At 38.1% G+C, this 15,936-nt stretch overlaps 1 protein-coding gene across 2 annotated transcripts in view, besides 1 other annotated feature; it reads right to left on the bottom strand.

The window, feature by feature from the left end:
* Positions 1-15,936, bottom strand: part of GPC6 (glypican 6) — a 1,191,492-nt gene that overhangs the window by 909,686 nt on the left and 265,870 nt on the right. The gene's annotated exons all lie outside the window — the stretch shown is intronic.
* Positions 1,525-2,117: an enhancer, noted in NCBI's record as "OCT4-NANOG-H3K27ac-H3K4me1 hESC enhancer chr13:94148471-94149063 (GRCh37/hg19 assembly coordinates)". NCBI's record gives its function as "activates a minimal SCP1, AML or CMV promoter by ChIP-STARR-seq in naive H9 embryonic stem cells {active_cell/tissue: H9 hESC(naive)}" and the evidence as "EXISTENCE:reporter gene assay evidence [ECO:0000049][PMID:30033119]".

Below are 15,936 nucleotides of genomic sequence, written 5' to 3'. Positions count from 1 at the left end.
TTGTATTTAAGCATGTACTGAGTGAGGGCTCTAATGGCAGGGACAAAAGCAGCCCAAGTGACTAGCAGGAAAGGACCAGAAGCTGGGAAAGACATCCAAAGGCCAGAGCTGGACAATATTTGATCATTAGCTGCACAGGTTGTCTAGTGGCTTCTAAGAACTCACCAGGAGCAGAAAGAACAGGAGAAACAAATTGGCAAATTAGGAGGAAACATGGCAGCCAGCTTATGGTATTCCATATCTTGAAGCTATCCTTAAAGTACGGCCACCTGGGGCAACTGGTCTAAGCTCTTCAGTGACTCAAGAAAGCATATAGAAGATGACATCCTTCTTTCTAACCAGTACTACAAAGTTAGAAATATTTGAGCACAGTCTACCCCAACACATCTGAGACAATAGGTTTAACTGCATTTTACCCTCCAATACACCTTCTTTAGGCAGAAGTTGATTTGAACTACAAGATTTCCCCAAGGACAGCCCTGGCTCTCTGGAACTCTAAGGGGGCTTCTGGAATGCATTTGATTTATTTATTTGTCATGATCACCATTACTGGTTCTATGGTTCAGTTAATACAGGGTACAAACTAAGTTTATGTGAGACTTGGTCCACAAAGATGCCAGTTCTGTTTCTCAACTATTTTAACTTGAATAATTTAAAGACCTGATACGTTATCAATTGTCCTTCAGCTTCAAACTATATCAACATTGTGTTCTTTCACATAAAAGTTTCTTTTTAGCCTTCATTTTCTGTGATAAATGGCCATACATCCCTGTTAACTGACTGGGATTACCCAGCATATGGAATGCCAGACCTTCCCTCTTTGAAATACAATTTCCTTTTGGCTTTTTGCCCAAACACAGTTAAGTGGTATTAGCTCCCCAGGCAGACCTCATCGTCTTTGAGTTAAATACAGTAAGAAGCGCTGATGCTTCTCTTTCACTAATATCTTTGCTCTGTAATCCTTTATTTTATGACCTGCCCCTGGCTGCTCCCTGAGCTAAGAATTTGCTGTTCATAAAGCGGGGTGACAAGTCTCATCACCTTATGATAAAGAAAGTGGTGTTACTTTAGCTTTCACATGAGCAATCAGGACACAATGTGAATGTAGATGCCCTAGGCTACTATCTGATCCAATGTGAAAGTAAAACATTATGCTTTCATGAAACCTGAGGAAAAAAATCTAGATTTTTGTTGTTTTAATCTTTTACTCCTAAAGTGATGCAGACAGAATCAACCATAGAGAGTCAGGCTGCAGCAGCACGAGGGCATCAGTGTCATCATCTCACAAGCCATTGCAACCTTCCTCGGATTAACGCATCGAAAGCAGGTTGACAAGAAATGCAACTTGGGTTGGTGTTCATAATCCTCCAATTGCCTAGCAATGTTTAGATCAGGAAGGAAAAAAAATTATAAATCTGTATTTTTCATCCTAGCAGACTCAATCTTGTATATATTATGTTTAACACAGACTATTTATAAAATAAGTCCTCTGTGTCAGGCACATCTTAAAGCACTTCACAAATATTAACTTATTAAATCATCATGATAACTGTATAGAATAGGTTCTAAATTACCACAGTTTTTACAGATGAAGAAGCTGAAGCACAGAGAGATTAAGTAAGTTGCCCAAGGTCACAGAGCTTGTAAATGGCAGAGCCAGACAATCTGGCTCCAAAGTCTATATGCTCCTCCACTGCAATATGTTGTCTGTCTCTATAAAGCAGTGTTGAATGTAAACCCCAGGCTTTAAAATTTTTGATTAACACTAGTTAAGTTTTGTTAAGAAATAATAATAGTGGGAGGAGCCAAGATGGCCGAATAGGAACAGCTCCGGTCTACAGCTCCCAGCATGAGCGACGCAGAAGACGGGTGATTTCTGCATTTCCATCTGAGGTAATGGGTTCATCTCCCTAGGGAGTGCCAGACAGTGGGCGCAGGCCAGTGGGTGCGCGAGCCGAAGCAGGGCGAGGCATTGCCTCACTTGGGAAGCGCAAGGGGTCAGGGAGTTCCTTTTCCGAGTCAAAGAAAGGGGTGAGGGACGCACCTGAAAAATCGGGTCACTCCCACCCGAATATTGTGCTTTTCAGACCAGCTTAAAAAACGGCGCACCACGAGACTATATCCCACACCTGGCTCGGAGGGTCCTACGCCCACGGACTCTCGCTGATTGCTAGCACAGCAGTCTGAGATCAAACTGCAAGGAGGCAGCAAGGCTGGGGGAGGGGCGCCAACCATTGCCCAGGCTTGCTTAGGTAAACAAAGCAGCCAGGAAGCTCCAACTGGGTGGAGCCCACCACAGCTCAAGGAGGCCTGCCTCCCTCTGTAGGATCCACCTCTGGGGGCAGGGCACAGACAAACAAAAAGACAGCAGTAACCTCTGCAGACTTAAATGTCCCTGTCTGACAGCTTTGAAGAGAGCAGTGGTTCTCCCAGCACGCAGCTGGAGATCTGAGAACGGGCAGACTGCCTCCTCAAGTGGGTCCCTGACCCCTGACCCCCGAGCAGCCTAACTGGGAGACACCCCCCAGCAGGGGCACACTGACACCTCACACGGCAGGGTATTCCAACAGACCTGCAGCTGAGGGTCCTGTCTGTTAGAAGGAATACTAACAAACAGAAAGGACATCCACACCGAAAACCCATCTGTACATCACCATCATCAAAGACCAAAAGTAGATAAAACCACAAAGATGGGGAAAAAACAGAACAGAAAAACTGGAAACTCTAAAAAGCAGAGCACCTCTCCTCCTCCAAAGGAACGCAGTTCCTCACCAGCAACGGAACAAAGCTGGATGGAGAATGATTTTGACGAGCTGAGAGAAGAAGGCTTCAGACGATCAAATTACTCTGAGCTATGGGAGGACATTCAAACCAAAGGCAAAGAAGTTGAAAACTTTGAAAAAAATTTAGAAGAATGTATAACTAGAATAACCAATACAGAGAAGTGCTTAAAGGAGCTGATGGAGCTGAAAACCAAGGCTCGAGAACTACGTGAAGAATGCAGAAGCCTCAGGAGCTGATGCGATCAACTGGAGGAAAGGGTATCAACAATGGAAGATGAAATGAATGAAATGAAGTGAGAAGGGAAGTTTAGAGAAAAAAGAATAAAAAGAAATGAGCAAAGCCTCCAAGAAATATGCGACTATGTGAAAAGACCAAATCTACGTCTGATTGGTGTACCTGAAAGTGATGCGGAGAATGGAACCAAGTTGGAAAACACTCTGCAGGATATTATCCAGGAGAACTTCCCCAATCTAGCAAGGCAGGCCAACGTTCAGATTCAGGAAATACAGAGAACGCCACAAAGATACTCCTCAAGAAGAGCAACTCCAAGACACATAATTGTCAGATTCACCAAAGTTGAAATGAAGGAAAAAATGTTAAGGGCAGCCAGAGAGAAAGGTCGGGTTACCCTCAAAGGGAAGCCCATCAGACCAACAGCGGATCTCTCGGCAGAAACCCTACAAGCCAGAAGAGAGTGGGGGCCAATATTCAACATTCTTAAAGAAAAGAATTTTCAACCCAGAATTTCATATCCAGCCAAACTAAGCTTCATAAGTGAAGGAGAAATAAAATACTTTACACACAAGCAAATGCTGAGAGATTTTGTCACCACCAGGCCTGCCCTGAAAGAGCTCCTGAAGGAAGTGCTAAACATGGAAAGGAACAACCGGTACCAGCCGCTGCAAAATCATGCCAAAATGTAAAGACCATTGAGACTAGGAAGAAACTGCATCAACTAACGAGTAAAATCACCAGCTAACATCATAATGACAGGATCAAATTCCCACATAACAATATTAACTTTAAATGTAAATGGACTAAATTCTCCAATTAAAAGACACAGACTGGCAAGCTGGATAAAAAGTCAAGACCCATCAGTGTGCTGTATTCAGGAAACCCATCTCACGTGCAGAGACACACATAGGCTCAAAATAAAAGGATGGAGGAAGATCTACCAAGCAAATGGAAAACAAAAAAAGGCAGGGGTTGCAATCCTAGTCTCTGATAAAACAGACTTTAAACCAACAAAGATCAAAAGAGACAAAGAAGGCCATTACATAATGGTAAAGGGATCAATTCAACAAGAGGAGCTAACTATCCTAAATATATATGCACCCAATACAGGAGCACCCAGATTCATAAAGCAAGTCCTGAGTGACCTACAAAGAGACTTAGACTCCCACACATTAATAATGGGAGACTTTAACACCCCACTGTCAACATTAGACAGATCAACGAGACAGAAAGTCAACAAGGATACCCAGGAATTGAACTCAGCGCTGCACCAAGCGGACCTAATAGACATCTACAGAACTCTCCACCACAAATCAACAGAATATACATTTTTTTCAGCATCACACCACACCTATTCCAAAATTGACCACAGAGTTGGAAGTAAAGCACTCCTCAGCAAATGTAAAAGAACAGAAATTATAACAAACTATCTCTCAGACCACAGTGCAATCAAACTAGAGCTCAGGATTAAGAATCTCACTCAAAGCCGCTCAACTACATGGAAACTGAACAACCTGCTCCTGAATGACTACTGGGTACATAACGAAATGAAGGCAGAAATAAAGATGTTCTTTGAAACCAACGAGAACAAAGACACAACATACCAGAATCTCTGGGACGCATTCAATGCAGTGTGTAGAGGGAAATTTATAGCACTAAATGCCCACAAGAGAAAGCAGGAAAGATCCAAAATTGACACCCTAACATCACAATTAAAAGAACTAGAAGAGCAAGAGCAAACAAATTCAAAAGCTAGCAGAAGGCAAGAAATAACCAAGATCAGAGCAGAACTGAAGGAAATAGAGACACAAAAAACCCATCAAAAAATCAAGGAATCCAGGAGCTGGTTTTTTGAAAGGATCAACAAAATTGATAGACCGCTAGCAAGACTAATAAAGAAAAAAAGAGAGAAGAATCAAATAGACACAATAAAAAATGATAAAGGGGATATCACCACCGATCCCACAGAAATACAAACTACCATCAGAGAATACTACAAACACCTCTACGCAAATAAACTAGAAAATCTAGAAGAAATGGATACATTCCTCGACACATAAACTCTCCCAAGACTAAACCAGGAAGAAGTTGAATCTCTGAATAGACCAATAACAGGAGCTGAAATTGTGGCAATAATCAATAGTTTACCAACCAAAAAGAGTCCAGGACCAGATGGATTCACAGCCAAATTCTACCAGAGGTACAAGGAGGAACTGGTACCATTCCTTCTGAAACTATTCCAATCAATAGAAAAAGAGGGAATCCTCCCTAACTCATTTTATGAGGCCAGCATCATTCTGATACCAAAGCCAGGCAGAGACACAACCAAAAAAGAGAATTTTAGACCAATATCCTTGATGAACATTGATGCAAAAATCCTCAATAAAATACTGGCAAACCGAATCCAGCAGCACATCAAAAAGCTTATCCACCATGATCAAGTGGGCTTCATCCCTGGGATGCAAGGCTGGTTCAATATATGCCAATCAATAAATGTAATCCAGCATATAAACAGAGCCAAAGACAAAAACCACATGATTATCTCAATAGATGCAGAAAAAGCCTTTGACAAAATTCAACAACCCTTCATGCTAAAAACTCTCAGTAAATTAGGTCTTGATGGGACGTATTTCAAAATAATAAGAGCTATCTATGACAAACCCACAGCCAATATCATACCGAATGGGCAAAAACTAGAAGCATTCCCTTTGAAAACTGGCACAAGACAGGGATGCCCTCTCTCACCACTCCTATTCAACATAGTGTTGGAAGTTCTGGCCGGGGCAATCAGGCAGGAGAAGGAAATAAAGGGTATTCAATAGGGAAAAGAGGAAGTCAAATTGTCCCTGTTTGCAGACGACATGATTGTTTATCCAGAAAACCCCATCGTCTCAGCCCAAAATCTCCTTAAGCTGATAAGCAACTTCAGCAAAGTCTCAGGATACAAAATCAATGTAGAAAAATCACAAGCATTCTTATACACCAACAACAGACAAACAGAGAGCCAAATCATGAGTGAACTCCCATTCACAATTGCTTCAAAGAGAATTAAATACCTAGGAATCCAACTTACAAGGGATGTGAAGGACCTCTTCAAGGAGAACTACAAACCACTGCTCAAGGAAATAAAAGAGGATACAAACAAATGGAAGAACATTCCATGCTCATGGGTAGGAAGAATCAATATGGTGAAAATGGCCATACTGCCCAAGGTAATTTACAGATTCAATGCCATCCCCATCAAGCTACCAATGACTTTCTTCACAGAATTGGAAAAAACTACTTTAAAGTTCATATGGAACCAAAAAAGAGACCGCATCGCCAAGTCAATCCTAAGCCAAAAGAACAAAGCTGGAGGCATCACACTACCTGACTTCAAACTATACTACAAGGCTACAGTAACCAAAACAGCATGGTACTGGTACCAAAACAGAGATAAAGATCAATGGAGCAGAACAGAGCCCTCAGAAATAACGCCGCATACCTACAACTATCTGATCTTTGACAAACCTCAGAAAAATAAGCAATGGGGAAAGGATTCCCTATTTAATAAATGGTGCTGGGAAAACTGGCTAGACATATGTAGAAAGCTGAAACTGGATCCCTTCCTTACACCTTATACAAAAATCAATTCAAGATGGATTAAAGACTTAAACATTAGACCTAAAACCATAAAAACCCTAGAAGAAAACCTAGGCATTACCATTCAGGACACAGGCGTGGGCAAGGACTTCATGTCCAAAACACCAAAAGCAATGGCAACAAAAGCCAAAATTGACAAATGGGATCTAATTAAACTAAAGAGCTTCTGCACAGCAAAAGAAACTACCATCAGAGTGAACAGGCAACCTACAACATGGGAGAAAATTTTCGCAACCTACTCATCTGACAAAGGGCTAATATCCAGAATCTACAATGAACTCAAACAAATTTACAAGAAAAAAACAAACAACCCCATCAAAAAGTGGGCGAAGGACATGAACAGACACTTCTCAAAAGAAGACATTTATGCAGCCAAAAAATACATGAAAAAATGCTCACCATCACTGGCCATCAGAGAAATGCAAATCAAAACCACAATGAGATACCATCTCACACCAGTTAGAATGGCAATCATTAAAATGTCAGGAAACAACAGGTGCTGGAGAGGATGTGGAGAAATAGGAACACTTTTACACTGTTGGTGGGACTGTAAACTAGTTCAACCATTGTGGAAGTCAGTGTGGCGATTCCTCAGGGATCTAGAACTAGAAATACCATTTGACCCAGCCATCCCATTACTGGGTATATACTCAAAGGACTATAAATCATGCTGCTATAAAGACACATGCACACATATGTTTATTGCGGCATTATTCACAATAGCAAAGACTTGGAACCAACCCAAATGTCCAACAATGATAGACTGGATTAAGAAAATGTGGCACATATACACCATGGAATACTATGCAGCCATAAAAAATGATGAGTTCATGTCCTTTGTAGGGACATGGATGAAATTGGAAACCATCATTCTCAGTAAACTATCGCAAGAACAAAAAACCAAACACCGCATATTCTCACTCATGGGTGGGAATTGAACAATCAGATCACATGGACACAGGAAGGGGAATATCACACTCTGGGGACTGTGGTGGGGTGGGGGGAGGGGGGAGGGATAGCACTGGGAGATATACCTAATGCTAGATGACGAGTTAGTGGGTGCAGCGCACCAGCATGGCACATGTATACATATGTAACTAACCTGCACAACGTGCACATGTACCCTAAAACTTAAAGTATAATAATAAAAAAAAAAAAAACTCAAAAAAAAAAAAGAAAAAAAAATCACTCAAGTTGAAAAAAAAAAAAAAAAAGAAATAATAATAGTGGACCAACTTCAAAACATGGATTAAAAATAGTGTGTATATGTAAGTACATCATATATATGTTATAGATTTTATTTTTATTAACTTGTAAAAGCCTTGGCAGTGTGATAAGGTTGAGAAGACAGATTATAGTACTTTGTCTCTAAAATTTTCAGTAAATATAACAGATTCAAAACAATTTAATTTTAATTTGGTAAACAGAACCAAAGACAAAAACCACATGATTATCTCAATAGAGGCAGAAAAGGCCTTTGACAAAATTCAACAGCCCTTCGTGCTAAAAACTCTCAATAAATTAGGTATTGATGGGACATATCTCAAAATAATAAGAGCTATTTATGACACACCCACAGCCAATATCATACTGAATGGGCAAAAACTGGAAGCATTCCCTTTGAAAACTGGCACAAGACAGGGATGCCCTCTCTCACCACTCCTATTCAACATAGTGTTGGAAGTTCTGGCCAGGGCCATCAGGCAGGAGAAAAAAATAAAGGGTATTCAATTAGGAAAAGAGGAAGTCAAATTGTCCCTGTTTGCAGATGACATGATTGTATATTTAGAAAACCCCATCATCTCAGCCCAAAATCTCCTTAAGCTGATAAGCAACTCCAGCAAAGTCTCAGGATACAAAATCAATGTGCAAAAATCACAAGCATTCTTATACACCAATAACAGACAGAGAGCCAAATCATGAGTGAACTCCCATTCACAATTGCTTCAAAGAGAATAAAATACCTAGGAATCCAACTTACAAGGGACGTGAAGGACCTCTTCAAGGAGAACTACAAACCACTGCTCAACAAAATAAAAGAGGACACAAACAAATGGAAGAACATTCCATGCTCATGGATAGGAAGAATCAATATTGTGAAAATGGCCATACTGCCCAAGGTAATTTATAGATTCAATGCCATCCCCATCAAGCTACCAATGACTTTCTTCACAGAATTGGAAAAAACTACTTTAAAGTTCATATGAAACCAAAAAAGAGCCCACATTGCCAAGACAATCCTAAGCCAAAAGAACAAAGCTGGAGGCATCACACTACCTGTCTTTAAACTATACTACAAGGCTACAGTAACCAAAACAGCATGGTACTGGTACCAAAACAGAGATATAGACCAGTGGAACAGAACAGAGCCCTCAGAAATAATACCACACATCTACAACCATCTGATCTTTGACAAACCTGACAAAAGCAAGAAATAGGGAAAGGATTCCGTATTTAGTAAATGTCACTGGGAAAACTGGCTAGCCATATGTAGAAAGCTGAAACTGGATCCTTTCCTTACACCTTATACAAAAATTAATTCAAGATGGATTAAAGACTTAAATGTTAGACCTAAAACCATAAAAACCCTAGAAGAAAACCTAGGCAATACAATTCAGGACATAGGCATGGGCAAGGACTTCATGACTAAAACACCAAGAGCAATGGCAACAAAAGCCAAAATTGACAAATGGGATCTAATTAAACTAAAGAGCTTCTGCACAGCAAAAGAAACTACCATCAGCGGGAACAGGCAACCTATAGAATGGGAGAAAATTTTTGCAATCTACTCATCTGACAAAGGTCTAATATCCAGAATCTACAAAGAATTCAAACACACGTACAAGAAAAAAACAAACAACCCCATCAAAAAGTGGGCAAAGTATATGAACAGATACTTCTCAAAAGAAGATATTTATGCAGCCAAAAAATACATGAAAAAATGCTCATCATCACTGGCCATCAGAGAAATGCAAATCAAAACCACACTGAGATACCATCTCACACCAGTTAGAATGGCGATCATTAAAAAGTCAGGAAACAACAGGTGCTGGAGAGGATGTGGAGAAATAGGAACACTCTTACACTGTTGGTGGGAGTGTAAACTAGTTCAACCATTGTGGAAGACAGTGTGGCGACTCCTCAAGGATCTAAAACTAGAAATACCATTTGACCTAGCCATCCCATTACTGGGTATATAGCCAAAGGATTATAAATCATGCTGCTATAAAGACACATGCACACGTATGTTTATTGCAGCACTATTCACAATAGCAAAGACTTGGATCCAACCCAAATGTCCATCAATGATAGACTAGATTAAGAAAATGTGGCACATGTACACCATGGAATACTATGCAGCCATAAAGAAGGATGAGTTCACATCCTTTGTAGGGACATGGATGAAGCTGGAAACCATCATTATGAGCAAACTATCGCAAGGACAAAAAACCAAACACCACATGTTCTCACTAATAGTTGGGATTTGAACAATGAGAACACTTGGACACAGGAAGGGGAACATCACACACCGGGGCCTGTTGTGGGGTGAAAGGAGGGGGGAGGGATAGCATTAGGCGATATACCTAATGTAAATGACGAGTTAGTGGGTGCAGCACACCAACTTGGCACATGTATACATATGTAACAAACCTGCACGTTGTGCACATGTACCCTAGAACTTAAAGTATAATAAAAAAGTGTGTATATGTAAATAAATAATATATATGTTATAGATTTTGTTTATTTTTATTGTTTAACTTGTAAATGCCTTGGCAGTATGATGAGGTAGAGAAGATAGATGATAGTACTTTGTCTCTAAAATTTTCAGTAAATAAAACAGATTCAAAACAATTTTAATTTTAATTTGGTTTTGATAAGCTTAAGTGACTACTATTATTTCCCCTAGAACATGCGGATTTCACGTTACTGCTTCTACAAAATGAAGAAAGAAAAATATCATGTTTTTAAATGTCATCCTACTTCTTTCCTGAACAGCACAGTGTTCCAATACAAATGATGTGGTCAAGTAAAAGCAACAAGGGGTATGGACAGGGAAGATACATGATCAACCCTCAATCCAAAACTGTTCTTTTTCAACTTTCTGTGTCTTCCTTACCCCCTCGTTCCTCCTCCAAATATAGTTCTACACTCATGTTACCCAAGGGTTTCTTAAAGGTATTCCTTCAGATAATAACAGCAATAATATTAAGAAATTATTAATAACACACGTTTACTAGCAGGCGCTATGTTAATGAACACACAGAGGAGAAAATACACATTGGGGCCTGTCTGAGGGTAGAGGATGGGAGAAGGGAGAAGATTAGGAAAAATAACTAGGCTTAGTACCTGGGTAATGAAAACAGTCTGTACAACACAATCCTATGACATACGTTTACCTATGTAGCAAACCTGGACATATATCCCTGAACTTAAAATAAAAGTTAAAAAAAAATTTAAAAATTTAAAAGAATCTTGCAATAATGATCTCCTTCAATACTCATATTTGGACTGTGATGTTATGAAAATGACAGTCAAGATATTTAACACTAGTTAGAATGGCCTCTGGCCACAAACAATGAATAAGGGAGTGAGCAAACTGCGAGGTATCAGCCCTGCTGTAAGTGTGTGTATATTATTTTCATCACACCAGTTTATGCTTGACTTTGAGATGGTCTCTTTGTTTTTTTGTTTTTTTGTGTTTTTTGGGGTTTTTTTGTTTTTTTTTTTTTTGAGATGGAGTCTCGCTCTGTCGCCAGGCTGGAGTATGGTGGCACGATCTCAGCTTACTGCAACCTCCAACTCCCTGGTTCAAGCTATTCTCCTGCCTCAGGCTCCCAAATAGCTGGGATTACAGGCGCATGCCACCACACCCAGCTAATTTTTGTATTTTTAGTAGAGATGGGTTTTCACCATGTTGGCCAGGATGGTCTCGATCTCCTGACCTCGTGATCCACCTGCCTTGGCCTCCCAAAGTGCTGGGATTACAGGTGTGAGCCACCGTGCCCGGCCAAGATGGTCTCTTACACTATGGAGTTAATAGATTTGTTTTGGAAAAGAGCAGTCAGTTGCCAAAATATTTAGAAATCACTGCATATTGTTTTTCCTATTTTGGATATAAACAATGTTTATTAGCACATCAATGGCTGCTGAGAAACTAATGGATGTTCAGAAATCTCTTTTACTTTATTAAATCCAGAGTTTTTGTGACTTCATTGGTTAGAAAATAAATTCTTCATGTATCACCTGTTAACAGTATTCCAAAAACACAGTTTGGGAATTGTGCATCTATAAAAATATTTATGTTTCTTAAAAATAAAATCTTCCTTGACCACTGCAGGCCATGAACATTTGGAGCTACATATGTCTCTTCCTTGTCATGTATAATTCCTCAGAATATAATCTACCTTCACTGTGACATTTGCTCACCTCCCATCCTCTCCTGAGTTCAGTTCTACCCAACTGAAATGATTCCTGTTGAGCCACCAACACCACATTATTGACACATCCCACAGATTACTTTAGATTATTTTCTTACCACTTGTCTCTACTACACTGAGGGATATCTTTATTTTTGAAATTCTCTTTCTTGGTCACATTCATGCAACAATTTTCTTGCTTGGCTTATTATTTTCTCCGCCTTTTATGCCTATTCTTCCTCCACCTACCCTAAAGTGTACATATTTCCCAGGTTTCCATAGTTAGTCATTTTCTCTTCTTAATTCCAAGTTTATCCAAGAAAGATAACAGATAATGATCTTGCTGATATAATAATCTGTCTTAAGTCTGAATTCCATTCCAGATCTCTTCCCTGAGCTTCAGAATCATATACCCCATCATTACCTGGACAAATATATATGAAGAACTGCAAAAATCTCAAACCTGACAGGTACAACAGCTACAAGAATAAACTAACCATTACTGTACCCCACCTCCTGCCTGAACCCCATCAAACCGCCTCACCTGTTTTCACTAGTGGCATCACTGTCCACCTGGTGGATTGTACCAGGAATCTGAGGGTCATTTTGCTTTCTCAACACTCAATTAAACTTATTCATAAACAAATTTGGAACATGTCCAAGGTAACTATATAAATTATCTACGAAATCAAGAAACTTTGGGGGACTAAAGGAGTGTACAGAGAGCTATTAATAATGAAAATGAAGTAAATAGCATAAACAAGACTATGTCCAGCATCTGAGATGAATGGTCATGTAATATTTTCCATCTTCTCAAGAGCCCGAAATCTGTCCCTTACTACGACTCCTGACTGGTCATCAGATCTAATGGGATCCTCCCAACTCTATCTAACATGAGCTATCAGAATGGGTCTACTGAACCTCAAGTTTGGCTGGATTATGCTTTTGGCTAGAACAAAATCTTATGATGCCACCGCCTGTCCCACATAAGCTTTTTTTCCACCTGTGCTTTCATACCTGTGGGACTCCCCTTTGTGCTAGAATGTCCTTCTCTTCCTTCTCATAAATTCATTATTTGGTTAATTTTAGTCGTATTTTAAAACTTAGTCCAAGAATTAATTCCTTTAAAAAGCCTTCCATTACTGTTGTTCTTCTCCAGATAGAACATCTCCAGGGGGGGCTAACTGCCCCTTCTTTGTGTTATCACATCAAGCTGTAAATACCTCTTTGCCTTTACCATACTGCTGTTTAATAATTCCTGACTTGGAAACTATAAGAAAATTTGTGTTTATTACATATGCTGTATGTATATTTTAATGTATTTATTTATTGAAGAATAACTCTACAAATTCATTAGATCTTTGAAAGTAATGCACAATTAATGTTTCTTAAATATTGATGAGTGCTTTAAAATGAAAGTACATTTCCCTAAAATTTCTGTCATAGCAATAGTCATCGCTAACACAGAATTGACAAATTCAAAGAATTTTTGAGTTACTAAGCTATAATTATCTGTATTTCATTATCATTTAATTTATTATATACATACATTCAATTTAATAGACTACAAGAAATTAAGCAATATTTCAAGTTTGACATTGTTTTCAAAGGCAAAGATTCAAATGTATTTTAAATAAAATGGTAATTCAAAAAAGTATAACTAGTAATATAAAACCTGCAAAAAAGAGAAAATGGTTATGATAATATGCAAGGAAGTATTATCTTAACATGGAAAAACTTAAGGATATATTATTCTAAGCAGAAAATTATAATATTCCCAAAAGAGGTTCACAGCATACTCGGGATTAGAGACAAAAATCTTTCAGAATATACAGCCTTTTGTCAAATTGATTTCTGTGAGATTACAAACAAATACCAGTGAGACAATTTGCATAAGGTATACTGACATACCTGATTTAACTAGGGTATCTGTTTCACAACAATTAATTATAGATTCTTGGAGAACTAAAAACAGTTTCACTTCCTAAAGTGATAAAAATATCCTACAGAAAATGATATCTGTTATTAAAACAAGGATGATAATGTAAAGAATGAACTACATTTTACATCAAGTAGTGAGAGAATAACCCAAAAAAACTGTTGCTATGGCAGATGCTGAAGGAGATAACACACCCTGGATCCATAAGCACCACATTTTCTGAAATATTTACAAAATTTTAATACTTTTTTTGTACAAAAGTGCATCTTTTCCCAGGATTAAGTTAAAACCAATTTGCTCTAAGAGTCTAAACAAGGAAAATAGTTAAATGATTCAAAACCCACTGTAAAGAATACACCTTGGTGAGTGTTCTGTTTTCTACACAAATAAGTCTTGTGACATTCAAATACAGGGCACACAATATGTAGCTAATTTCCAAATAAGTTATTCCAGCATTAGCTGTGTTAGGGAGAAATGTGATCTAATATAATTTTAGTCACACTGACAATTGAAACAACACTCTGTGGGCTAATAGCACAATGCAGCCACCATTTAGAAACACTGTTTCTACCATGAGCCGCATTCTTATTGCCGAATGATTAATTAAAACATAAAACCACATATGACTAAACATTATTTTAGGGCTCTTTTTATTACTAAATTACACTACAAACATATATGCTATCACATTTGGAAATAGCAAGTCAATTTTAAAATATAATAATTTAAGTTAGAATTATTGCAGGATAGCATAAAGCCTGCAAATCGATTGGAAGTTTATTATTAAAAGTATCTTAGATATAATTGAATAGATGACTGAATGGATAGAAATAATCAGATATTGGTAAAAACTAGAAAATTAACATTCTAATTTCTATATAATAACTAATGATTTATTACTTTTTACAACACAAAGTATATCAAACCAGTAAGTACTTATCTAGTTAAAAGCATCTCTGCTACATGATTATTGACTGATAAGTTTCACAATAGTAATCATATCAGTTAACTAAAAAAGCACAGTGATTTCAATATATTGGTTTAATTGAGAACCTAAAGTTTTTTGTCCAATTTCTAATAAAATGATACATCAGTGAAAGGTGGGACTCCAGGATTTAATTATGAGAAATCAAACTACGTATGTCTCCATGCCCTTGCTAAAATGAAAATGAAGATTATGCATTAAAGAAATATTTAATAAAACAATTGCCAGTATTGTAACATGCATGTACGAAGTGATCAAAGTCAGAAAATCTCCACCTGGCTATCAGGATGAGTGCCTGTCTGTCATGGGTAACACTGAGCCAAGTCCTTAGGCTCTTGGTCACATTTACGGTCTCCTAAGGAAAACCAGCTATGCACTCTTGTACTCTAAAATGCAAGCAGACTTACAGACCACAAAGCACGTTTCAAAAATGCACGTAACAAAGACATCTTAAATAGATTTAGAAAACCTCCATATGGTAAATTGCGTAAAATGAAAATAAATACTATTTGATTATTACAAACGTACTTGCTACACAACTCTTTGTTTCATACATCTCAATTTGGGGTCTATAATTTCCTGTAACAAAAAGGAAAATACAAAATATATGAATCCCAGTATATTTTAAACATTCCATGCCACCTGGTGCTTTTGTTTCTTTTCTTTTATTTTCTGTGGTTTTGCCTTCTATTCCTGAGCAAGAGATTTCTTACCCATTAACTTAGGCCTATGAATCAAGTAGAATGCAACTAATATACCTCTAAATTTAACTTTATTTCTTCATGATAGGTTACTTTTGATTTGATTAATATAAACTGCATTGTGCTATATTTTAGGATCCTCTATGAACAGATTCTCAAATTAACTGTAGTAAAATATAGGAGAAACAACGAATTAGTTGGCATTTTATCTTTGGTGAATTAATTCTTGTTTTT

The sequence above is a fragment of the Homo sapiens genome, chromosome 13 (assembly GCF_000001405.40).
Source record: "Homo sapiens chromosome 13, GRCh38.p14 Primary Assembly".
Classification (NCBI taxonomy): Eukaryota; Metazoa; Chordata; class Mammalia; order Primates; family Hominidae; genus Homo; species Homo sapiens.
Note: the sequence above shows the minus strand (reverse complement) of the source record. Positions and strands in the feature narration are given on the sequence as shown.